We start from the raw sequence: 27,122 nt of genomic DNA, 5'->3' as shown, positions 1-27,122 counted from the left end.
ATAAAAATTATAAAAATAAAATTAGCCAGGCGTGGTGGCACCCGCCTGTAATTCCAACTGCTAGGGAGGCTGAGGCAGGAGCTTGAGTCCAGGAGGTCGAGGCTGCAGTGAGCTATGGTCGCCTGTCACCGCACTCCAGCCTTGGCGACAGGGTGGAAACCTAGTATTTAAGTTTCTTAGAAAAACGGCTGGGTGCAGTGGCTCACGCCTGTAATCCCAGCACTTTGGGAGGCCGAGGCGGGTGGATCACCTGAGGTCAGGAGTTTCAGACCAGCCTGACCAACAAGGTGAAACCAGTCTCTACTAAAAATACAAAAATTAGCAGGTCATGGTGGTGCGTACCTGTAATCACAGCTACTTGGGAGGCTGAGGCAGGAGAATAGCTTGAACCCGGGAGGCGGAGGTTGCAGTGAGCCAAGATGGCACTGGGCGAAAGAGTGGGATTCCATCTCAACAACAACAACAAAAAATCCCTTTTTTTTTCTCACTTTCCATGCACTTGCACCGAGAATTTCTCTCCTGGGAGCAAAGACCACATTGCGAGTATCGAAGGAAATCAAATCTGCAGGCCCAGGCCCTTCCCAGCTGCGGGCAGAGTGGGGTGACTGCCCCCAGGCGAGACGCCCCTCTCCGGCCCACCCCTAGCCCATCTCCGCTTCCCAGCGCCCATGGGCCGGTAGCTGGGTTCCGCATCCCGCTCCAAGCCCATCGCCCAACGCTTCTCTCGCGCCCTCTGCAGGAACCTGGGCCGAGGGCCGCCCCGCCTCGCTGCCCCCAGGCTCATAAATGGCCTCTGCGCCCTGGCCGGAGCGGGTTCCGAGGCTGCTCGCTCCGCGCTTACCCTCTTACCCGCCCCCACCCCCAACAGTGGGATTACGGTCCATGGAGCAGGAGGAGACCTACCTGGAGCTCTACCTGGACCAGTGCGCCGCTCAGGTGAGGCTGCCGCCACTGTCCCAGAGTCAGGACCCAAGTCCCGCCCGGTCCTGTGCCAAGGGCTTTGCCTTCGTTCCTCTTAAAACTCATAGCGACCATAAGAGGCGGGCTTGGTTTCCCAAGTCATTAAGTTGAAGGTTAGAAGCTTCGAAAAGTGAAATAATTTGACCAAGGTTGCCAAACAGAGCTCGAACTTCATCTAGCACGAATCCAGAACCGTTCACTCAGTTACCAGATTACATGGCCCTTCCCAGGTTGTTCTGGTTTTTGATTGATTGATTGATTGATTGATTGATTTTTCTCTGAGATGGAGTCTCGCCCAGGCTGGAGTGCAGTGGCGCGATCTCAGCTCACTGCAACCTCCGCCTCCTGGGTTCAAGCGATTCTCGTGCCTCAGCCTCCCGTGTAGCTGGGATTTCAGGCACACGCACCACACCTGGCTAATTTTTTTTTTTTTTTTTTTTTGAGACAGAGTCTCGCTCTGTCACCCAGGCTGGAGTGCAGTGGCGCGATCTCGGCTCACTGCAAGCTCTGCCTCCCAGGTTCACGCCATTCTCCTACCTCAGCCTCCCGAGTAGCTGGGACTACAGGAGCCCGCCACTACGCCCGGCTAATTTTTTTGTATTTTTAGTAGAGACAGTGTTTCACCGTGTTAGCCAGGATGGTCTCGATCTCCTGACCTCGTGATCCACCCGCCTTGGCCTCCCAAAGTGCTGGGATTACAGGCGTGAGCCACCATGCCCGGCTAATTTTTGTATTTTTTAGTAGAGACGGGGGGGGGTTTGCTTTTCTCCCCAGGCTGGTGTTGAACTCTTGACCTCAAGTCATCCCACCCACCTTGGCCTCCCGAAGTGCTGGGATTTCAGGCGTGAGCCACCACTCCTGGCCCCCCGCCTGGTTCTAAAGGACATGCACAGAGAGTGCATTGTGCTAGCTGTAGTGACTTCAGGTTCCCACGGGTTTCTGCTTTGACAGGGGAAACAGAGAGCCCCTGTCCCCTGCAGCATGGATGCCAGTACTAGGCCTCCCTCTAGAAGTCAAGTCTCTGGTGGAGCTGGTGGTTGCAGGGTTTGCCAAATGTCAACTAGAAACACCTGTGGCTTTTTTTTTTTTTTTTAAAGTTAATTACTCTTAAGACTTAAAAATCCTTAGCATTGGGCAGGGTGAGGTGGCTCACGCCTGTAATCCCAGCACTTTGGGAGGCCGAGGCACGTGGCTCATTTGAGGTCAGGAGTTCAAGACCAGCCTGGCCAACATGGCGAAACTTCGCCTCTGCTAAAAAATACAAAAATTAGCTGGGCGTGGTGGCAGGAGCCTGTAGTCCCAGCTACTCGGGAGGCTGAGGCAGGAGAATTGCTTGCATCCAGGAGGAAGAGGTTGCAGTGAGCCGAGATGGTGCCACTGCACTCCAGCCTGGGCGACAGAGTGAGACTCCGTCTCAAAAAAAAAAAAAGGCAAGAGAGCAACTTACTTTTTTTTTTTTTTTTTTGGTGGGAGAATTTTTTTATAAAGACAATGATCAGCACTGAGGTAGAAATGGTGACTTTCCCTAGCATTTAACACAGCAAAGAAGAGCCCAGACAGGAAAGGTTCTGAGAAAGGTAAGTGGATACAGTTTAACAAAAATGACTAAAGATTCTGAAGCCAAGGATGCAGTGAACGTGCTACACAGACATGTTCTGAGGAGAGTCACTACAGGCAGACCCTGCAGGGAGCCGGTCAAGTTTCCATTACCATAAAACATCCTCCTTCAAATCCTCGCCATTGCCTTACATTCTTGTGTACGTGTAGCTTTGTTCCCTGATAAAATGCCATGATGGGGAAGGGGAAGGGGAAGGGAGACACTGACTGTTGCAGCTTTGGTGCTTTAGCGTAAATTGCGGGAGGAGACCCTTTACATCTGGGACAGGTGAGACCAAGGAAACCCTGCAGTGGAATTGGGGCCCATTGTCCCCATCTCACTTTTCTTAGGCCACTCTGTGGGTTGAGGGTGGGGAAAGATGGGAGCGTATCATGTATTCATAATGAAATAGAGGTCAAAAATCTTATTTCAAGAGAATAGCTTGATTTTGTTTTTAATTCTAAGTGCTTTCTTTAAACAATTAGTCACCCCTGCCACCTGCTGGACTTGTAGTAACAGAACACTCCAATAGGCTCCAGTCAGACGTACATTAGCGGAGGTAGCATTGTCACTGAGAAGATGCAACACGGTGCATTCCTGACCCTTCAGTGGTCAGAAAAGAAATAAGATCTTTTTGAGTTTCTCCTGCAAGCAGTGCTCAAAATCTGGAGTCCAGGCCCGTAACTTGAGTGAAGCAGGTGGTAATGCATTTATCAAGCTAATCGATTTTTTCCCATAATAAAGTCCATGAATTTTACATTAGTTGCTTTCCTCAGGTGCACACATCATTCTCTCCGTTGCTGGATAATGGTAGTTGAGCAGCCTTCCCTGGACTGAAAATAAATTGATTTACACTATTCTTACCATTTAAGTTTCAATAACTTTTTTCCTAGTGTAAATTCTTCTAACTAGAACATTACAAGAATTCTTATTACGCCTTTGCCTAGAAGGAATAACCATGGGTCTTTAGTGAGTCTTGATTAGCATTCAACTATATCTTAAACTTCCTTCATTTATTCTATTTACATTTAAAACTCAAAATTATTTCAAAGTAAAGTCAACTAAAGTTTATAATTAACTTAAATAATACAGTATATCTGTTCTCTTCAAAGTATACAACAATTTAGAGCATGGTTGCTCAATTGCCTCTATTGCAAAATTGGACTTAGAGAGTGGCAACTTACTAGAGATCTAACCAAAGTAGCTAAGATAGTTTATGAAGAATGCTTTTTCTGCATTTTAAAATATTCTTTTCTGTTTCCATTAAGTGTGCTGTAACTGTAATAGAATCATTTTTTAGATGGAGTCTCGCTCTGATACCCAGGCTGGAGTGCAGTAGCATGATCTCGACTCACTGCAACCTCTGCCTCCCAGGTTCAAGAGATTCTCATGCCTCAGCCTCCCCAGTAGCTGGGATTACAGGCAGGCACTACCATGCTCTGCTAATTTTTGCATTTTTAGTAGAGACGTGGTTTCACCACATTGGCCAGGCTAGTCTCAAAACTCCTAGCCTCCAGCCATCCGCCTGCCTCAGCCTTCCAAAGTGCTGGGATTACAGGCGTGAGCTACCACATCTGGCCTGTAGTAGAATCTTAATGGCATTTTCTAGAAAAAAGCAGTGCATGAATACAAGCAATCTTGAACTGCCTCTTACACTGAATACATTGCCTGCCTGCCTGCCATAGTGACATCCCTTTTGTGTAACATGCTGTTCTGTCTGTTGTGTTTTTGTCTGTCTGTTTTGGGAACTGCCTAGGATGGCCTTGCCCCACCCAGGTCTCCCCTGTTCAGCCCAGTTGTACCTTATGATATGTACATACTGAATGCATCCAATCCGGATACTGCATTTAATTCGAACCCTGAAGTCAAAGAAACATCTGGTGATTTCTCATCTGTGGATCTTAGCTTCCTACCAGATGAAGTTACCCAGGAAAATAAAGACCAGCCTGTCATTAGCAAACACGAAACTGAAGAAAATTCTGAAAGCCAAAGTCCACAAAGTAGGTTGCCATCACCCAGCGAACAGGACGTTGGGCTGGGCTTAAACAGCAGCAGTTTGTCAAATTCCCATTCACAGCTGCACCCTGGTGATACTGACTCAGTCCAGCCCTCTCCTGAGAAACCAAACTCCGACTCCTTGTCTCTGGCATCCATAACTCCCATGACACCAATGACCCCTATTTCAGAATGTTGTGGAATTGTACCTCAACTACAGTAAGTTTTTATTTTTGTTTTAATTGAGCACATTGGGTACACATTTTATATTCCTGAATGCGATGACAACTAATTTCAGGATAATAGTAGGGAAGAGAATTTCAGATTTCATAATTCTTTGTTTTATCAGTTCTAAATGGATTGTGGCTTTAGACAGTTTGATTATCTGTAAGGCAAAGCACTAATTCTTGACCTCTAAGGTGGGCGGAGGGGACTTAAAGATTAATAGATGCATTCTTGAAGGATTGTATTGTTTATACTACAGCACTGTAGTTGCTGAAAATTGTGGGTAGGGTTGGATAAACACCAAGGATATAAAGATGTAAAATTGAGTTTGATTTGCAAATTGATTCAGAATTGTAATTTCTATTTTGAGGCATTGTTTTGAAAAAAGATCTAAAACTTAATTTTAGCAGCTAGTCATGAAATTTTAGGAAAGGCTCTTTAGCACTTCACTTTGGGATTTTACACTTAACTAGGAATCATGTCATGTATTTCACATTTGGAATAATTCTCCCCCTAGGAAATTGCTAAGGTATAACCTAAGAAATGAGAAAATAAGTTGTCTTTTTTTTTTTTTACTCTTTATATCTGATATAAGTTTCTAAACTGACTTATTTCTTCAGGAATATAGTTTCCACTGTAAACCTGGCCTGTAAGTTGGATCTGAAGAAAATAGCTTTGCATGCAAAAAATGCAGAATATAACCCAAAGGTAACATTTCTCAGTATTCCTTCCAATAATTAGCTTCTCTTTAGATTTACTTTTCTTAATATGATCATGATATTGACTAATTCCTCTGTTTTTTCTTAAAAAATTGTTACTGAAAAAGCTTTTGGCAACTCAGGGTTAATATCTGTTTTGAGTTATAAAAAATAATCTCATTCTTTATGCTGAATAAAGCAGTAATTGAGCAGTTCCTTAAAGATAAGCTCTCTCCCTTGTCATTCAAAAATATTTTTTAGTATGATTATAATTTTTCACTTAGGCTGGGCACGGTGGCTCACTCCTGTAATCCCAGCACTTTGGGAGGCTGAGGCAGGTGGATCACGAGGTCAGGAGTTTGAGACCAGCCTGACCAACATGGTGAAATCCCGTCTCTACTAAAAATACAAAAATTAGCTGGATGTTGTGGCGGGTGCCTGTAATCCCAGCTACTCAGGAGGTTGAGGCAGGAGAATCACTTGAACCCAGGAGGCAGAGGTTGCAGTGAGCCAAGATCATGCCATTACATTCCAGCCTGGGTAACAGCGAGACTCCGTCTCCAAAAAAAAAAAAAAAATTTCACCTGACTATTGGGATGCTAACTATCTTAAAATGCCATCAAATTTCTGGAAATAATTTTTGCCAAATGTTGTCTCAGCTACCTGACACTTATGTATCTTTCCATTACAATTCCTCTTATCTGAGAAGGCTAAACTGCTTAAAGTATAAAGTTCAAGCTCCTATTTACTAATGTAAGATTCAGGGATTTTTTTTTTCGTCCTCCTCAAAGTTTAATAAAATCTATTCTTTCTTGTATCCTGCCAAGGCCAGGCATCCTGTTTTCAATGGCTTGTTTACCTAGGGTAATTGGGTTTGTCAATCCTATCAACTTTTAACGATTTGCCAGGCTCTGTACTTAGGAGTACAAAGATGAGTAAGACCTGCTTCCTACTGGGAAAAAGTTCACTGGCTTAGGTGGTGGAGGATTTATGGAATTAGATGAAAAAAGGTCACATTCGTAGGAACCCAGAGACCTTGCAGGCATCAACTATTATTTGTTTTTGCTGTTGCCCTAGTATTGTTGCTGACATCTGAATTTAAATGTTACCTCGATGTTACCCGAATACAATAAAGCTTTCCTTTTGATATTTCATACAGCTGACAATGGTGAGGACAGACACAAAGATGAGCTAAGATCCTCACAGCTGCAGCTGTGATCACATTATTGAACAATCAGCATTTTAGGCAACTTTTATTGTCCACCATCCTCAGCACACCTCTCATTTTGGACGAGGGGTAGGGGTGGGCAGGGCTGGGGATGAGTGTATAGGATCTCTCTGAACTTGTGCTTGACACCCAGAGAAATTCTGGCTTGGCCCTTAAGCTAGCACCCACCCCAGTTTCCTTCCTAGCTTAACCGGGGAGAGGAGTTGGGGTGAAGAGACTATCTGTGTAGGAGCAGGCCATTTGATGACACGTCCATGTGGCAGGCCAGAGGTTCCCTACCCTCACGAGTGTCAGCCTCACCTGCAGGGCTTGCTGATGCTGCTGGTCTTGAATGACACTTTGAGAACTATAAGAGGCAAGAACCTTGACATCAACTTTCTGTCATTCATCTTTAGCATGCCTATCATACAGACTCTTCTGCATTTTGGTCATTTTTCAGTACATTCTGAAGTCTTGGTGAGCCTTTAACATACTTATTTTTTTCCCAAAAGATTCTTCAAAAGAAAAAGGAAGTGTGTCAAAGTAAAAAGCAGAGAATCTGATTAGTGTGGGTTTTGAATCTTAACTTTACCACTTCCTGTGTAATATTGGAGGTTATATTGCTACTTGTTTTCCCTGAGCACTAAATGAGGATAATAAACACAAGTTCATCCTATCATGAGAATAAATAGGAACTGAAACATAACAGGCATTCAAATTTAAGAGTTACTGATATTATTTTTACCTGTTAATAAGTACATTTTAGAATCATCATTATTTTTGTTAACCTTAATGTAGGGAGAAAAGACCCAGACATTTAGTTTTCCCATCCAATCTGTTTGAGATTTTCATATTCAGCTCGGCTTTTTCAACTGGGATAATGTTAACTCCTAGCAGAGGCTAATTCTCTTTTGGTTTCTGGGTATAGAGGTTTGCTGCTGTCATAATGAGGATCCGAGAGCCCAGGACAACAGCCCTTATATTTAGCTCTGGGAAGATGGTCTGCACGGGAGCCAAAAGGTATGAGGAATCATCCCTCCACCCCTACCAGAGAAACAATTTAGTATGTAAAACAAGGAAGCATAGAATTAATGTGCTAAAGCACATAGTAGAAGCAAAATGCCTTTCTTTGCTGAAGACTTTATTCAATGAAATGCCACATTTTGGGTTAAAAACACTCCTATAAATACTGACTTGGGCCAGGCATGGTGGCTCACATCTGTAATCCCAGCACTTTGGGAGGCCTAAGCAGGAGGATCGCTTGAGCCCAGGAGTTTGAGACCAGCCTGGGCAACACAGTGAGACTCCATCTCTGTTAAAAAAAAAAAAAAAAAAAAAAAGAGAAATCTAAAAAGTAGCTGGATGTGGTGGTGCATGCCTCTAGTCCTAGCTACTTGGGAAGCTGAGGTGGGAGGATCACCTGAGCCCATGAGTTTGAGGCTGCAATGAGCTATGATCATACCACTGCAGTCCAGTCTGAGTTACAGAGCAAGACCCTGTCTCTATTAAAAAAAATAATAAAATACTGACATATCCCCATTTTACAGTTTCCCCTATTAAACCGAGGGGACTTAACTGCGCTGCTACAACTTGTTTCTAAGGTGAATTTTTTTTAAGTTACAGTAATGATGAAGTGTGTTATAAGTCTGGGGAAGTAGTTATTGTGGATTTTCCTCATTGCAGATAAATGGATAGAACTTTCTAAAGGAGCTCAATTAGACATTCCTTGAGCATTAGCTTGCATTAGCTCAGGAGGCATCCCTTAAAAATCTCATCTCTCCTGGATCTCACGCAGAGGAAGCCCTGTGTTGATGGGTATTCTTTCACCATAACTCTGTAGTGGCAGAGCCTGTTTTCTCCTGTAGGTGTTAAAAGATAAGAAGCAAATTCTCCTCCTGAAAAGTTGTGCCAATTTCTCGCTCTATAAATGTACTAAGTGTTCATTTTATCCTGTGGACACTGGGTGTCGATATTCTTTTTATATTTGCTAAATTGATTGACAAAAAGTTACATTGTTTTACATTTCTTTGATTTACTAGTGAGATTAAATAACTTTTTAGAAGTGCAGAAATTGCTATGTCATTTGCTCAGTTATCTATGGAGAGATTTATCTTTTGTTTTTGTTTTGTTAACTATTTTCACCATTTTATACTGTAAATATTTTTTCTCAGATTACTGTTTATGGTATTTTATGGTGTTTTTTTTGTTGTTTGTTTATTTGTTGTTTTTTTTTTTCTGAGACACGGTCTCACTGTGTTATCCAGGATGGAGTGCAGTGGTGTGATCTGGGCTCACTGCAACCTCCACCTCCCGGGCTGGAGCCATCCTTCCAGCTCGGCCTCTTAAGTAGCTGGGACCACAGGTATGCACCACCAGGCCTGGCTAATTTTTTTTTTTTTTTTTTGTAGAGACGGGGGTTTCCCCATATTGCCCAGGCTGGTCTCGAACTCCTGGGCTCAAGTAGTCCTCCCACCTTGGTCTCCCAAAGTGCTGGGATTACAGGCGTGAGCTACTACATCTGGCCTATGGTGGGTTTTTTAAAAAACACAAATTTTGAAGGGTATACTCATTTTATCCCATTTTTTTCTTTGTTTTCTACATTTGGCTTTGCCCTTAAGGCATTTGTGCACAGTATTATACAAATATTGACTTTCATATATTTTTTGGTCTTTTTCAGGTCCTGCTTTGTGATAGGAAAAGGATAGCTGGTATTTTGATTCACTTAGAGCTTTCTCTAGATGGAAATGTTCTATATCTGCACTGTTTAATGCAATGATATAGCCACTAGTCAGATGTGGCTACTGAGCACTTGAAATACAGCTAATACAACTGAGGGACTGAATTTATATTAATTGGACAGAGCAGATCTAGAATTTTGTTTCAATGTAAGATAATTATTTTTCCCAAATGATCAGTCGGTACTCAGATACATTTATTGAAGGATCCATTGTTACTACATTTCCCCCAATCTGTTTTTACATATTAAGTTCTTCACATGTGTCTGAGTACATTGCTGGACTTTCTCTTATGTTGATCCCAGGAATCTCCATTTTAAAGTGATTATTGGACAGTTGTGCAAGATGTCTGTAATAATGTTCATTTCAGCAATAGAACAGGGAAAACCTAATTAATAATAGGGTTTCAATTTGAAGTCATAAAGTAAAATTGTATTAGCCATATAGTACACATACTGAGCTGAAAGGATGGTCACATTGTATTAAGTTGGATTGCAGAGGGAGAAGTAAGCAGCTAAATGGTGTTTGTTATCCAACTTTCATTGTAAAATATGCTCATGTTACACATATTACACACATTCATGAGTGTCTTTTCTTATCTGAATTTATTCCTAAAATCTGATAGTGAAAGTTTGGATAATGAGTTCAGATAATAAGAGATACTTTTTATCCAAATATATTTGGTTTTGAAGTTTTGGATAGTGAGTTGTGAGAATTTAGTTAATAAGAGGTGCCAGTATTATCTCCACATTTTATCCAAACCTATTCTCTTTTGTTGTAACAGCAAGAGTATGAGGGATACCTGTGTTTGCGTAGGAAAAGTGCAGAAGATCAAATTTAGGTAGTTAACACCAGTATGGGTGAGATTTTAAGATTTTTAAACTACTTTCTAATGTTTGTACAATGAACATGTATATAGACTTTCAACTATTAGTTGTTTCAATAGAAACTTCTGTGTCCTTAGAATATCACAGCTGATATCCCAAGAAACTACAGGACTATGCAAACTTGAACAAATTTGAACTTATTTACATTACGGGAAATGTAATAGATTAGTTAGGCAAAATGTAGTTCAAAATGGAAACAGTTTATTTTACTGCTAACCTGGGGACATGGCCTTGCTAAGGACATTTCAAGAGTGAGAAGTGGGTGAAGAGAGCCAAGGGCAGTGCTGTGCAGCTGTAGTCAATCTAGTGAGTAGATACCAGATCAACAGATGGCCATGTGCAGTGGCTCACACCTGTAACCTCAGTACTTGGGGAGGCTGAGGTTGGGAGGGTCACTTGAGTCCTGGAGTTTGAGCCCAGCCTGGGCAAGACAGCAAGACCCTGTCTCTATAAAAATTTAGGCAGGTGTGGTGGTGCATGCCCCTGCAGGCTACTTAGGAGGCTGAGGCAGGAGGATCACTTAAGGCCAGAAGTTCAAGGCTGCAGTGAGCTATGATCATGCCACTGCACTCCAGCCTGGGTAACAGAGCAAAAACCCAATCTCTTTTTTTTTTTTTTTTTTTTTTTTTAAAGTGGGTGAGGAGAATCAACATTAAATGAGGTGACACATGTATGTAGTAACGAATACCCAAGAGGGGGCAGTGTTGGTGAAGGATCTGGATAAGAGAATCAAACACTTGCTTTAGTCCAGGCAAACAAGTTCAAACTGGCTTTTCTTTCAGGTGTTTCTGATTTACAGCCTAAAAATAGGGCCAAACCCATGAGGGGGGTGGAATTCACCTGATTCACCCTGCAGGTGTTGCTACCTACTGTTTTGTTTTGTCACTAACAGTTGAAAAATACCTAAGGAGAAATGAAGCCTCACCTCTCAGGACTCCACAGGCTCTGCTATGAATTTAGGGGTGCAGCAGGACAGACACTTAAAGGACATAGCCACAGAGTAGGACAAATTCCTGTCCTTCTTGTGTTGAGTTTGAATTGAATTGAAGATTGGGTGAGAAAGCCGAGCAAAACAAGGGGGGTTTTGAGGTATTTTCATGTGGTTGTTTTGGACAGTGTGTCCAATAAAGACTCAAGAACTGATACCTTGTCTGTGCCACTCAATCAGCACATATCTTACCTCCTTATATGCGATTTTTTTTTGTATGCATGTGTCCTTATTTTTTCTTGTTGTTTTCTTTTTTTTTTTTTTTTTTTTTTTGAGACGGAGTTTCACTCTTGTTGCCTAGGCTGGAGTGCAATGGCGCGATCTCAGCTCACTGCAACCTCTGCCTCCCAGGTTCAAGTGATTCTCCTGCCTCAGCCTCCTGAGTAGCTGGGATTACAGGTGCCCGCCACCATGTCCAGCTAATTTTTTTGTATTTTTAGTAGAGACAGCGTTTCATCATGTTGGCCAGGCCGGTCTCGAGCTACTGTCCTCAGGTGAGCTGCCTGCCTCAGCCTCCCAAAGTGCTGGGATTACAGGCGTGAGCCACTGTGCCCAGCCATTGTTCTCTTCTAAATGGGACATACTTTGAGACTGGATGAATGGTTCCCAAACTGCAGTGAGCAGCACAGTTACCTAGAGGGCTTGTTAAAAGACAGATTGCTCGGCCCCACCCCCAGAGTTTCTGCATGTCTGAGGTGGAACCTGGGACTTTGCATTTCTAACAAGTTCCCAGGTGAAGCTGCTGGTCTGGGGACACACTTTGCGAATCCTTGGAATCGTTTTAGCAAATAACACCCAAGTAAAAGTAAAAGTACTTCATATATGAAAGGTGACAAATGAAGACAAAAATTTATGATTCTGTTCAACAGCTGTACAATTTTACAAGACCTTTTATAAGGTGCTAGGGACGAAAGTATGGGAAGTAAGTCCTCCTCACAAAGCCTACAGCTTCATAGTATACATTGAAAGATAAACGTGGTACAAATGGTAACAATCCAATACAACACCAGTAGTTGAGAGGATGTAGCGATTAAGACATCTTTAAACATATTTGCCCCTCCCCAGTGAAGAGCAGTCTCGACTTGCAGCAAGAAAATATGCTCGTGTGGTGCAGAAGCTTGGGTTCCCTGCCAGATTCCTCGATTTTAAAATTCAGAACATGGTTGGAAGCTGTGATGTGAGATTTCCCATCAGGCTGGAAGGTTTGGTGCTAACCCATCAGCAGTTCAGTAGGTATGACGGTTATATAGCTTGAACTTTGAATTTACCAAGATATTTAAGTTACATTATGGGTTGCTTACGTAAAGTATCTTTCAGAGAAATTGTGATTAAAAAAAAAAAGGCGGGGGACACAATAGTGAAAAGATTAAGATGCTATGCCTGAGTTCTCATAGGTTACCACATGTGCCCAGTCTTTTGAAACCATGGTTCTTAAACTTACATTGCTTAGCAATCACTTAGCTTATTAAAGCACACATCTCTGGCTGGGTTTCTTCACCAGAGATTTTGCTAGAATTTGTGTTTCTAAAAAGCTCAAAGGTGATGACAGTGCTACTGGTCAGAGGCCCACACATTGAGATCCAGTAATCTACAGATTTGTAAGCATACAAACGTAGCTTGGCAATGACACTGGCAAGATAAGGCATGTGTTGGGAGGCCGAGGCAGGCGGATCACGAGGTCAGGAGATCGAGACCATCCTGGCTAACACGGTGAAACCCTGTCTCTACTAAAAATACAAAAAATTAGCCGGGCGTGGCAGCGGGCGCCTGTAGTCCCAGCTACTCGGGAGGCTGAGGCAGAAGAATGGCCAGAACCCAGGAGGTGGAGCTTGCAGTGAGCCGACCTCGCGCCACTGGACTCCAGCCTGGGCGACAGAGCGAGACTCCGTCTCAAAAAAAAAAAAAAAAAAAAAAAAAAAAGATAAGGCATGTGAAATGGACTAGGCCGGTAGGAAGGGGCTTGACAGCTGGTGAGGGGAGAATGGATTGGGGAGAAGATGAAAAAAGAATGCTGTAGCACGTTCTATGAAAGCAATCCTGGGAGGCTGAGGCAGGAGAATGGCGTGAACCCGGGAGACGGAGCTTGCAGTGAGAGATCGCGCCACTGCACTCCAGCCCGGGCCACAGCCAGACTCCGTCTCAAAAAAAAAAAAAAAAAAGCAATCCTAACTAGTTTGTCCCCTATCTGTGTGTGTGTGTGTGTGTGTATATAGCTGCAGCCCGCAACACAATGTTGCCTGTAGTATATTCCTTTTCCTAGGGAATATCTCTAGCCTTCCTGACTTCAGACTTCCCGTCTCAACAGCTAGTGCTCCTCCCCCGCCCCCAGCCGTTTTGGTGGCTCTCCCATCCCAGGCCCTCAGAGAGCAGGGATGGAGGGTGACTCATGGACACCAAACCCCTTGACTCACCAAGATATACACCTGGGCTAGGGCACTTGGCCTGGGTTAATCACAGATGCTCTTAAATTCTCTTGGCCAAGCTGGAACTGAAGTTCTTTCATTCCAACGCCTTATCTTCTCTTGGCCATCGAATGATTATCCCGTCAATAGAGTAGATAGGGATCATATTGCTGTGCTTTCCCTAACATTTGTTAGCTTTCCTTTCAGATATGATCTGAATGGAAGTTAAAAATTCCTTTTTCTTCTAAAATATTTTCATTCATTCTGAGATTCAGCTTTTATGATATGCTTATTTTTCTTTTGACATGTTTATTTTTCTCTTGATTATGTTTTCTTTTTTCTTCAGTTTTTTCACTGTATGCTATTGAATGCCTAAATATACCCCATTTTTTAAAAATCTGAGCTCCCTATAAAGTCCTCCCATTCCCCCATGTAAGACATGTTGCCTCTTTAGGTATCTTTCTTCCTTCAATCTTGGCATAATTTGCAGATTTCCTAATAAAGCCTGTTTCTAAGAGTCTCCCAGTGCTTAAGTTGTCTTATCTTCCAGACTCTCAAGTCACGAGCCTCCAGCCTATCTTTCTCTGAATCGGCTTAGTGTACATCTGCAAGAGCTCTGCCCGAACTCTAAGGTTGTGTCTACATTAGACTTAGCATTCCCTTCTGGCCATTCAGGGCTCGAAAATGATGTGTGTGGTTCTTCCCAAGTGTCCATTCATTTCTTTTTCACCAGCATCTTCCTTGCAGAGCAGATCTAAGTCTAGAATAGGTGCCCCTTGTTATTACTACCAGCTTCTGGAAGGGTTGCCAGTAAGGCGCAGTGAGAATACATCAGACGGAGTGGGCCCATCCCTGTTCTATCTTCCTCCTGGGACAGTTTTATGATCTCAGTCATCTTTTCTTTTCTTTTCTTTTTTTTTTTTTAATCTGGCCAGGAAGCTTGCTTTGTATTCCCACAACTTTCTATTTCTAGTCTCATTCTTGCCTCCCCCTCATCCTCTCCATTCGGCTGTCAGCCTCAGGTTATGGATTACAACTCCAGAGTGTGTATTCTTGACACTGGGAACATTAAAAACACCTCTTAGAAGATTTGAATTTTTAACATGAGGCCTCTCTAATTGTCTGTAGCTCTGTGGGGAACCATGCTACATAATCAGTTATAATTATCAGGCCAAATTTGCCTTGTGTTAAACCCCTAAGGTCATTCAGTTTCCCAGGTTCTGCAAATTTGTATGTCAACATTTAATAATACAAGTATCTCCTTTTGTTACCAGGCACTTTCTCTGGTAATCTTTCTATGACATAATCATTTCCACAGTTGTCAATGAGAATTTTTCCCTCTTTATTTTATTTATTTATTTTTTTTTTTTGAGATGGAGTTTTGCTCTTTTGCCCAGGCTGGAGTGAAGTGGCATGATTTCAGCTCACTGCAACCTCCACCCCCCAGGGTTCAAGTGATTCTCCTGCCTCAGCCTCCTGAGTAGCTGGTATTATAGGCACCCACCACCACACCCGGCTAATTTTTGTATTTTTAGTAGAGACGAGGTTTTACCATATTGGCCAGGCTGGTCTTGAACTCCTGACCTCAGGCGATCCACCCACCTCGACTTCCCAAGTACTAGGATTACAGGTGTGAGCCACCGCACCCGGCCCCCTCTTTAATTTTTAATTCAAAGGTATCCTGATATAAATACTTGCTATATGAATAAGATCTAGGTGACTACCATGTAGCAGATGCTAGGATGATAATGGCAAGCAATATAGCTATAGTCCCTTGCCCACATAGAGATCACTGTCTAAAAGAAAAGATGGACAAGTCAATGACAGTAATGAAACATGGTGACTGTGAAGGTAAGGCCCTTCAGGGGCTATGAGACCATAAAGCAGGGTCTTTAATGTAATTGGGGGTGGGTAGAGATCAAGGAAGATTTTCTTGGGGAAGTAACATTTAAAATGAGACTTGAAGGATGGGTCAAAGTTGGGTTGGCCAAGAAATTGGCAGGTGTTCGATATTCTCAATCTTTGTGAAATGTTCTCCATCCCTAACCAAAACCACTCTCTTTCTCTGCCTCAGCCTTCTTTTGGAATGAGGCAGAGAATAAATAAAATGAAGTATATTCCTAATTGGGAGCACATTATACTGGTAATCTTAAAACCATGGTTCTAAAAGCTAAATGCAGTTCAATATCATTTACATACCAAAGTTTTTGTTTTCTCTTTTCTAAGTCTTAAAATTTAGCTGGAAGATCAAATGGAAATCTTCTTTTTGTGTCTCCAGCCTTCATTTTCTTGGCCTGGATCTCATAGCCCTGGAGGGTTTTTCAGGGCTCCCCCTAGTGTCATGGTCTCCCCAGTGTTGGGAAGTGGTTAGTGGGAGAAAGTCTTGACAGGCTCCCTGCAGTAAGACAGAGTGATGTTCCAGAAGACAGTTCCACCCACAATGACCTCCTATACTTGAGATGGGCAAGACTCACTTCAAGATGCGCCTTTCTGGAGCCAGTAAAAGGTTCCACATCTGCTGTTGTTTTTGGGTCTTGTTCATTGCTGAACTGAATGGAGCTTTTCCATGCAGTCTGGATTCACCCTTTAAGTGCAAAGATGCTAGTGTTCCATTGCTTGGATGTCTTTTTTTCTTATATTTCTTGTCCATTAGCCACTGCTTTGAGAATAGTTTTATTCACCTCCTCTCACTTCCTGACTTCTTTTTGGTAGGTTCCTCAAGCCTTTCTAAGAATCTGCCCTCCTCTCCAGGCTGGAGTGTGGAGAAGAAGCTCTTAAGTGCTATCATCTTTCGCTCCATGGAGTGGCCAGCTTATATTTAGTAGTAAATATGAGTTACTATTTATAGCAACAAATCCTGAATTGTAAAAACTCGGGATAATTGGATTTTCTTTATTTATATAGCACCTGTTCAAATACAAATAGCAGTGGCCTAGAAATATTTTTAGGTTCTATCTGCTAAAAATGTTAACTTCAGCAGTTCGTAAAAGCATACAAAATATGTTTATTATTGGAGAATTTGGAAACCCAGAAAAACATGATTATGTATTCTTATTAACAGACTTTTTTGAAAAGATAGAGGATGTTTAACCAACAAGCTCTCAATACACTAAATCAGATGCCCTAAGTTACCTTGATTTCTAATAACCATCCAGGATAGCTTGCACTTGTGTTATGACCCAAAATTAATTATGTTCCTAACTTCCATAAGATATTACCTAGGACACTCAAGACTCTTCATCAAGATAGTTAAAAAGTTTTTGATAAAATAGCTAACTTATTTACAACTGCTTTAATATGCACTTTAATATACTGGGCCTTACATGTTATGGGAAAGGAGCTGAATAGTGCTATTTTTAACATTTTCCTTTTACATCTTAACAGTTACGAGCCTGAACTGTTTCCTGGTCTTATTTATAGAATGGTAAAACCACGAATTGTGTTGCTTATCTTTGTATCTGGAAAAGTTGTGTTGACAGGTAAGTGCTAAGATTATTTTCTGACTCATAAAATGTAATTGCTATGCATGTGCTTTGCTTATTCTTTTAAATACCTTTGTTCACCATGGTAAAGTAATTCTTGTTATACAGAATACCTGGAATGAAAAATAAGAAAGGAATAACATCACCCATAGGTCCCAGTACCTAAAACAACATTTTTTTCATGTTTTTATGTCATTTTATTAAGTATTTCATCTTTACATCCTGATTTTTTTACAGAATTATCCATGATAACATATATGGCTTAAACTTACTGTTACAAACTCTTCATAAAGGCTTTTAATGGCCACACAAGGTCCTAACACAGGGGTTAACAAACTCTTTTCTGGAAAGGGCCAAATACTAAATATTTTAAGCTTTGTGAGCCACAGGGTCTGTCACAATTACTGAGCACTGCCATCGTAGTGTGAAAGCAGCTCTGAATGTTACATTATATAAAGGAATGGGCTCTGAAATGTGAATTTCATATCGTGACATAATTTATGTGTGTTATGTAATATTTTTTCCCCAACTGCTGAAAAAGATAAAAACCATTCTTAGCTCATAGGCTAACAAAATCAGGCAGCAGGATGGCTTTAGCCAGCAGACCTACCTTTGCTGAACCCATTCTAACATGTTATTGAATCAAACGTATTGTCCCATTGCTAGATAGGTAAATGTTCCTTCTTTGTTTGCTACTTATGAAGGGCAGACATTTGGCTGCTTTTACCTGTAGACAATTATGATATTAGTGTGGACACTCAGAAATGGGACTTTCGTTTAAGGCTATGTCCATTTTGTTCTTAGAACAAATCGCCCAATTGTTTTAAAGGGATATATGACATAGTTCTGTATCACATGGTCTTAAATGCAATGTATCTAAATATCTTTTACCAAATGCTTGGCAGCATTCCAAACAAAATGGTACCAAAGAAAACTTTAACTGTATATGTAAAAATTATCTCACTACTTTAACCCCACCGGTAATCAGAGACAGAAATCGACCATTTTTCAACACATCCAATAAATAGCATTTTGTCTCTTGTAAATAATATGTACATGACATAACTTATCCTTTTGTCTACTTAGCTTGTATTTTCTCGGGATTTGAGTTTACTATAATACTATTAAAGACAAATTATTCTTTGCTATATTTGTTATTTTTTCCTGTTGGCTTTTTTTTAAATAATTTTTGCATAAATAGCACTTTTTAAAACTACTTGAGGGAATGGTTCAGACTCTTTTCTATGTCATTCTACAGAAGGTTGCTATATATATTGTTGTTTGTTTGTTTGTTTTTGTTTTTGAGACAGAGTCTCACTCTGTTGCCCAGGCTGGACTATGGCGGCGCGATCTCAGCTCACTGCAACCTCCACCTCCAGCGTTCAAGTGATTCTCCTGCCTCGGCCTCCTGAGTAGCTGAGACTACAGGCACATGCCACCATGCCCAGCTAATGTTTTGTATTTTTCGAAGAGATGGGGTTTTGCCAAATTGGCTAGGCTGGTCTCGAACCTCTGGCCTCAAGTGATCTACCTGCCTTGGCCTCTCAAAGTGCTGGGACTACAGGTGTGAGCCACTGTGCCCCACCTACAGAAAGTTGCTATTTTATGACCGGGCGCGGTGGCTCACGCCTGTAATCCTAGCACTTCGGGAGGCCGAGGCAGGCGAATTATGAGGTCAGGAGTTCAAGATGAGCCTGGCCAACATGGTGAAACCCTGTCTCTACTAAAAATACAAAAAAAAAATTAGCTGGGCATAGTGGCAAGCGCCTGTAATCCCAGCTACTCAGGAGGCTGAGGCAGGAGAATCGCTTGAACCTAGGAGGTGGAGGTTGCAGTGAGCTGAGATCGCGTAGTCTACTTTTGTCTTTTTATACATTTCACTCTCCTCTACCATAATGAATGCCAAGTTTATGTGGCCTGAGCCAAACTGATCTCCATGCCCCAGTCCCAAATAGCTAGCCAACCAACTTAACGCTACATATCTTCTCATTAATTTTGGATGACTCCTTTTGACCTTTCTTTTACATATGTGGCTGTTCTTCGGTTCTGCCTTTGCTCTAGGTTTATCCTATTATAATCCTATTGCCTTTATCTTATTGTAGCTTTAATACTCATGGTATATCTAATAAGGCCAATTTCCCCTCATTACTTTAATTTTTATATTTCTTAGCCTCTCTTAAATGTATATTCCTCCAAACTAGAATTTTATAAAATCTTGCCTCATCTAAAAAAATTGAGACTTTTATATTACCTGAATTCAGAAAAGTTGATTAAGTCATAACTCAGCATCCAGCAAAATGACATGTCTGTTTTAAGTGTTCTTTTATAACTCTGAGTTGTATAGTTTGCTTTTCTTTAAGAAATAATTAATGTGTCTTCAAAGAGGGGAAAGTTTCTGGGTATGGTGGCTCACGCCTGTAATCCCAGCACTTTGGGAAATTGAGGCAAGCAGATCACATGAGGCCAGGAATTCAAGACCAGCCTTGCCAACATGGTGAAACCCCATCTCTACTGAAAATACAAAATTAGCTGGGCATGGTGGCAGGCACCTGTGACCCCAGCTACTTGGGAGGCTGAGGCAGGAGAATCACTTGAACCTGGGAGGCAGAGGCTGCAGTGAGCCAAGTTCGCGCCACTGCACTCCAGCCTGGGTGACAGAGTGAGACTTCATCTTAATTAAAAAATTAAAAACAAAGTGGGGAAAGCTTGTTTGGAATCCAAGAACGTTTTGAATGCAGCAAAACTACAATTCCTCAGATGGCACTAATTTAGAGTCTGGAGTAATTAAGACCCCCTAGTGACTGACATAAAGTTTACCTCTACATGTCCTAGAGGAAGTGAGAAAAGCCTGCCAATAAAATTGAATAGTGTAGATATCAGAGGCAAATACATACCCTACTTAGGGAAACACACTTTCAAGTCCTTTGGAAGGAAACTTTCATAAGTGCCATGTATCATTACAAATAAATCTTATTAAAAGTGCAAATTGCCAAATACAGGCAAAGTTCCTATTATAGATTTCTTTAAATGCCCTTAATTCAGATCAGCTTTCCCACCTACCCCAAATTTCTTTTTTCTTTTTTTTTTTTTTTTTTGAGACAGATTCTCACTCTTTTGCCCAGGCTGCAGTGCAGTGGTGCGATCTCGGCTCACTGCAACCTCCGCCTCCCGGGTTCACGCCATTCTCCTGCCTCAGCCTCCCCAGTAGCTGGGACTACAGGCACCTGCCACTATGCCCAGCTAATTTTTTTTGTATTTTTAGTAGAGACGGGGTTTCACCGTGTTGGCCAGGATGGTCTCGATCTCCTGACCTCGTGATCCACCCGCCTCGGCCACCCAAAGTGCTGGGATTACAGGAGTGAGCCACCGCACCCAACCCCCAAATTTCTTTTAAAAAGCTTTCATTTACACATTTGCCAGTTTCAAATCACAGAAGTAAAGGATTGTTACTAAATACTGAAGACTATACAGTACACTTCCCTTAAAATTTCTAAGTATACAGAATAGGCAAATTTAAATTTCTTGCAAGACATGGACTTTTCTGGAGGTGAGGATTAAATACATTAACTGAAATCCAAATTCTGCTTATACTGTGAAGTAAAAGTTAATCCATGACTTACTACTGAAATGATAAATAATTATCATCTCTTGGCGTTTTACCTGTTCATGCTATACTGTCTTAAACTATTTAGCCTAGAGCTACGCAGTTTAGGTTATTTTTGCCTCAGCCTTAGAGACAAATGTTCCTTATTACTTAATCCTGTGTCTCTAGACTCTTTTCACCCGCAAATGGATTAAAAACTTAAGGGCCTGGCTAGGCGTTGTGCTCACGCCTGTAATCCCAGCACTTTGGGAGGCTGAGTTCAAGACCAGCCTGGCCAACATGGCAAGACCCTGTCTCTACTTAAATTACAAAAATTAGCCGGGCATTGTGGTGCGTGCCTGTAATCCCAGCTACTTAGGAGGCTGAGGCAGGAGAATCGCTTGAACCTGGGAGGCGGAAGTTGCAGTGAGCCGAGATCGTGCCACTGCACTCTAGCCTGGGTAACAGAGCAAGAGTCTGTCTCAAAACAAACAAACAAACAAAAAAAACCTTAAGGGCCTAATTTCAGGTGAACACCTCAGGAAAGGAACCAAGGCGGTCTCCTTTCAGGCTCCTCCCTAAACTGAAGCTTGGGGAAGCTCATGTGTGGCCTAGTGCAGCATGGCACAACTGGGTACTCTACAGAGATGTTCTGAAAGCAGTATCTCAATAATGGTAAATAACTTGCCTAGAAAATGTAAAGTGTTGCAATTACAAATGAACTTTGAGTCTGACTGTAGAAAATAATGAATTCCAGCTCTTGCCTAGTTGGGAACTGTAGAATGCCAATGCCCATAGTACAGATGTGTGGCAATTTGAAACCATTGTATCATGCCATTTGCAGGTCTTTGAAAATAATTTATCCATATAAAATGGTCTTACTCCCCTGAGTTGCCACAGCTACAGCCACCATGTCTAAGGTTACTTCTGAATGTCCTAATTATAGTCAAGTAAGCTGAAAACAAAGAGGCCCTGCTGTTCTACTGTCATGGTCCTGAGCAGAAAGCAACAGGACCTGGGCCCAGCTTACACTGTTCTGGATCTGTGCTTGTTTTCTGTGGCTGGTGTGACATTTAGGGCCCATGTTTTTTTCTTAAACCACAGTAAAATTAATAGCATAGCTAGGTTCTGCTGGAATGGGGTATAACAAACAGCAAATATGTCAACTTCCACTTCTAAGATCAGGCATAATCATCAGAGTTAACATATTGGGCACTCATATGACAGACACTGCTTCATAAGGACTTTCACATGGGGTCTGGTTAACTCTGTGAGTTGTACTTTATACCTAAGTTTCCTCACCTGTAAAATGGAACGGCTTAGTAAACTTAACGATATCAAGCAGCTGTGTGTGCCGCAGGGCAACAGGCATGTGAGGAGCCAGGCTCCAGAGCCCACTGGGCTCACCCTGTCCCACAGCAATTTGCAAGTCTACAATAACACCTGTGTGGTCTCCTGGCCAACTTCTTAATTCTCCTTGTCAGCTGAAAGAATGATTAAGATTCTCTTAGCAGTGAGGGTCAGCAGGTGTAGTGGCTAAAAGGATGGACTGGAGAGTTGTCCAGTTTTAATCATAATCTGCCATTTATTGACTGTGTGGCCTTGGTGAGTTTAAGTTCTCCGACTTGGTTTCCATATATGCAAAATGCAAGTGACCATAGAATCTACCTAAGTGTTGTAAGGAAGCAGAAAACCAGTGCCTGGCACTGTTGAGCTATTATTATCTTAGTGAAAACACACTCTCCTGGTTTTTTCTCTATCATTGACAAAGACTGGAATTTTGCTGTGATGCCTTGCCCTGATGATAGGAATATGAAGACAAAGATGCTTCAGGAAAACGCTTATTTATTTATTTCCCTCTAGCATAAAGAACTAAGAAGTTGTGTCATTGTTGCTGAGGGTCACCCTTAATCAGCTCAACATCTGTGCTTCTCGGAAATGAGTAGGTCAGAGGGCAGCAGAAAAATGCCAAGACTTGTTAGTGAGTGGGCCAGAGACACGACAGGATGTGCCTCCCAATTGTTAACAGTAACCCCCAACTAATAGTAAATTGGTATATGTCATAAAATGAATAACTTGAGCGGTGCAATGCTATTTTTACAAACTTGTAAGGTTTTGACTTATACACACACGACTGTGGCATCACTCGGGAAAATATGTGCAGTTATGACTTGATGTAAGAACAGAACTGGAAAATCCACGTAGTATTGGAGGTTGATATTTGGAGCTGACTAAGGGGTAGGGATGAACTTATAAACCTTATCAACAAATTACAGATATTTAATAAATTTTGGGTGCCTACCAAGTACTTGTAATGTGCTGGGGGCTGGGGACAAAGGTGAATCTAATATACTCCCCATCTGGCAGGAATCCAGCCCTGCTGAGGGAGACAGACATAAATAAATTACATGTTGCTGGCTTATCAGAATGAAATGATAAGCCATGTGTACTTGGACTAGCCATGCCAATGTCCCTAAGCTGGAAGTATATTCCTCTAGGGTAATAAAATGGCTTAGATTTTATAAAATGTCCCAACTTTCTACAAACCTTAGCTCACATCCTTTATCACAACTCTACAAGAAGGTTTATTGTCCTTATTTTACAAGTAAGAAAACTGAAAGTGGTTAAGTAATTTATTTTCCTGTTATTTTAAAGCTAGTTAGAGGTAGAGCTGGCACTTAAGCCCATATTGTTTGATCTCAAAGCCAGTCCTTTCTCTAGTGCACCAGGCCACACAATTTTCACCTTAGTCACCAAGGTTAGGAATGGTATTTATTCCCCAGAAATTACAGCCTGAAGAAAAGGAATGGTAAGTTTTGCTTAAAAGGCAAGGTTCATATACCAGCACTTTGGGAGGCCAAGGTGGGCAGATCACTTGAGTCGAAGAGTTTGAGACCAGCCTGGGCAACATAGCGAGACCCCCATCTCTACTGAAAATAGACAAAATTAGCCAGACATGGTGGTGCTTGCCTGTAATCCCAGCTACTTGGGAGGCTGAGGCATGAGAATCACTTGAACCCAAACCCAGGAGGCAGAGGTTGCAGTGAGCTGAGATGGTGCCACAGCACTCCAGCCTGGGTGACCGAGCGAGACTTTTTTTTTTTTTTTTTTTTTTTTTTAAGGCAAGGGTCATCTCATTGGAGCCTGGTATTACAAATTGGGGTTTTTGATTATTGATTGATTATTAATAGGACTATGGAGCCAATTTAGGTTCCCTTAAACTTTTGATGGCAATATTTTAGTGAGGAAATGTTTGACTAAATTGACCAAATCCCCTCATTTTAACAACCTGTTACAAATACTGGCAATGTTGATTTGTTGACTTTTGGTGTAAAGGAAGGAACACCGGTTACACGCACTCTTCTCCCACAGCTGCTGCTGTATGGTTCAGGTAACATCTGTTTCTTATGCCTTTATGAAATGAAGAAATTGTACTAATTTCCCTAAAGTCCTCCTATGTCTAAAATCGTTTCTCTATGATATAATGATCCCTCAAATGTCCATTCCCTCTTGGGAAAGGGCGCCCCCCAGGGGCCTCCAGATGGTATACTCCTTGAGCTTGAATGCAATGCTCTTAGTTATGATTTTCGGTCTGAAGTCCAATGCTCTACTCCTGAGCTATACCACCTCCTAGTTAGGATTTTTTAATATAAAAGTGTTATGGAAAATGAGTGAAGTTCATGGCTGTCCAAAATACTGGACCTGGACACTGTTCCTCAATTAAATATGAAAAGAAGAACCTTGGTTTTGGGGATTTTGGGAGAGGGGCATGTGTGTGTTTGCTGTACCTATTATGCTTCATTGTCTGCTAACAAGGTTGTTCAAGACGAATGCAGCTAGAAGCCCAAAAAGTCCATCAAACCAGAGGCAGTGGTTCTTGCTTCTTCACCAACTCACTGTTTAGTTTCTAAAGAGTTTGGTTTTGTAGAAACCAAAATTTTAGAGCTGGAACTAAAAATCTGCTGAAACTTGTGGCTTTTTCTACCCCAAAGAACCAGTTTCTCTTATGTGTGTCAGTAACTCACTCTCCTCCCCACCGCAAATCTTTGAAGGTGAAGACCTACAGATAGTAAACTTTTTGGCAATGAATAAATAACTTTTCTTCTCTTTATTTTTTCTCTTTTTATTTTTTTCCTTTATTTTTATGGAGACAGGGTGTCCCTATGTTACCCGGGCTGGTCTCAAACTCCTGGGCTCAAGGGATCCTCCCACCTTGGCCTCCCAAAGTGCTGGAATTACAGGTGTGAGCCACCATGCCTGCCCTTATTTCTTAAAAAATTAAGCTTATAAGGACTTCATCCCTGATTGTTTAATATTTAAGGTGAACGCACATAACAAATTTAACCATTTTAAAGTGAACAGTTCAGTGGCATTTAGTAGCTGGTTGTGTATTGTGAATATACCACCGGCTCTACCTAGTTCTAAAACATTTCTATTGCTCCAAAATAAAACCTGATATCATTAAACCATTCCCCCCATTCCCCTCTCCTCACTTCCCCTGGCAACTACCAATCTGAATTCTGTCTCCATGGATTTAACTCTTCTGGATACTTCTTATACATAGAATCTTATAACATGTGACTTTTCATGTCTGGCTTTTCACTTAGATGAGCCTAAGAAACATGCTATATGTTGTAGCATGTGTACTTCATTTCTGTTTATGACTAATATTCTATTGTATATACACACCATACATTTTTTTATTTTGAGACAGAGTCTCGCTGTGTCGCCCAGGCTGGAGTGTAATGGTGCGAACTCTGCTCATTGCAACCCCCGCCTCCCAAATTCAAGCAATTCTCCTGCCTCAGCCTCCCAAATAGCTAGGATGACAGACGCCCACCGCCACGCCTAATTTTCTTTTGTATTTTTAGTAGAGACGGGGGTTTCGCCGTGTTGGCCAGGCTGGTCTTGAACTCCTGACCTCAGGTGATCCACCTGCCTGGGACTCCCAAAGTGCTGGGATTACAGGTGTGAGCCACCACGCCCCGCCTACACTATAAATTGTTATCCATCCATTGACGGGCATTTAAGCTGTTTCCACCTTTTGGCAAGTGTGAATAGTGCTGCAATGAAAGTGCGTAGTATTTTTTTTGAGTACCTGTTTTCAATTTGGGGTGTATTTACCAAGGCGTGAAATTGTTGGGTCATGTAGTAATTCTTTAACTTAACCACCGAACTAGTTTCCACAGTAGCTGAGCCATTTTTTGTTCCTATCAGCAATGTACTTTATAGTTCTTAAGAGTCTTTATCAACTAAAGCTATTTTCCATTTCTCTTCATGCTAACAGTTGTTATAGTCCTTTCATTATCCTCCTTTCTTCCTTCCTTGCCTCCAGCCCACAAAATATCAGATTAACTGATTAGTGTCCTGATTAGCTGAAGCTCCATATAAATATAAGTAGTACAAGTACATGACCCTTAGCACAACGTGCCTGCATAATTTGGAAGCTGGAGGTAATGGTGGTGTTTGGTTGTTGGTGAGAGATGAGTAGGGACTAATACTTCTCAATGGTGGAGACTGTTTGATTCATGTTTTTATCCCTGTAATTCCTACAGCAGTTATGATTTACAATTTCTTGAAACAAGACTTTACGAGTGACAGTAGTACAGTTTTCCCCTCTAATAATCCCTTCCCATGCACTAAAATTTAAAACTCTTTTAAATTTAGAATTTTAAACTAAAATTTAAAACAAATTTAAAGCTCATTTGTCTCCATCTGTTATCAATATTAGGGAATCAAGATGTTAACTAGAGAGGACGTGGATCAAAAGAAGTCCCTTTTGCTGGTAGCTAAGTGCCCGCAGGTGCTGATGAAATTACTCTGAGGCCATATTCATGGCACATGTAGAGATAACATTCCACATTTCATACTGAGCACTGTGTGAGCAAAGATGACACCCACAGAGAAGTTCTAGAAAACTCTGCTCTAAGGTTTCTGTCTTGTGGAAATATGGCTGTAGTTGCCAAATTATTTACCCGGAATAAATGCCATTTCTCAGGTACAGCTAAAGAGATGTCATATTAAAAGTAATTGGAGACAATACAATGAAATTTTAGTGTTTAAGTAAATGTTGGTATTTTTATATTAAAAATTATATAAACCTGGATTTCTTTATAGGTGCCAAAGAACGTTCTGAGATCTATGAAGCATTTGAAAACATCTATCCTATTCTAAAAGGTTTTAAAAAAGCCTGAGCATATCATTCAGCATCTCACATTATTCTGGTTTGAATATGTCCATAAGCCCAGCACAGAAACAGCTGGATTCTTCTACGTTTAATTGTAGATGTTACAAGTACGTTACTTATTAAAGGGCGACTCTGTGTAAGTAACCTAAGAAACGAAGAAAAATTCTTATTCAAAA

At 41.6% G+C, this 27,122-nt stretch overlaps 2 protein-coding genes across 4 annotated transcripts in view; one reads left to right on the top strand and one right to left on the bottom strand.

Moving 5' to 3' along the window:
* Positions 1-27,122, bottom strand: part of FBXO34 (F-box protein 34) — a 171,629-nt gene that overhangs the window by 1,718 nt on the left and 142,789 nt on the right. The window contains exons 5-7 of one of the 3 annotated variants that reach the window (XR_007064022.1): positions 17,248-17,289; positions 4,360-4,416; positions 2,996-3,390 (exon numbers count right to left, since the gene is read on the bottom strand). The exons of 1 other annotated variant lie outside the window; for it this stretch is intronic. The gene's annotated coding sequence lies outside the window, so the exon portion shown is untranslated. Of the gene's footprint in view, positions 1-2,995; positions 3,391-4,359; positions 4,417-17,247; positions 17,290-27,122 lie in introns of those variants that run through there. One more of the 3 variants, XR_007064024.1, reaches the window with a different exon arrangement.
* Positions 716-27,122, top strand: TBPL2 (TATA-box binding protein like 2). Its single transcript, NM_199047.3, has 7 exons — positions 716-936; positions 4,314-4,771; positions 5,398-5,485; positions 7,611-7,702; positions 12,358-12,525; positions 17,079-17,173; positions 26,877-27,122. The coding sequence occupies exons 1-7, from the start codon at positions 883-885 to the stop codon at positions 26,951-26,953; spliced, it is 1,032 nt and encodes a 343-aa protein (NP_950248.2). The 5' UTR covers positions 716-882; the 3' UTR covers positions 26,954-27,122.

The sequence above is a fragment of the Homo sapiens genome, chromosome 14 (genome assembly GCF_000001405.40).
Source record: "Homo sapiens chromosome 14, GRCh38.p14 Primary Assembly".
Classification (NCBI taxonomy): Eukaryota; Metazoa; Chordata; class Mammalia; order Primates; family Hominidae; genus Homo; species Homo sapiens.
Note: the sequence above shows the minus strand (reverse complement) of the source record. Positions and strands in the feature narration are given on the sequence as shown.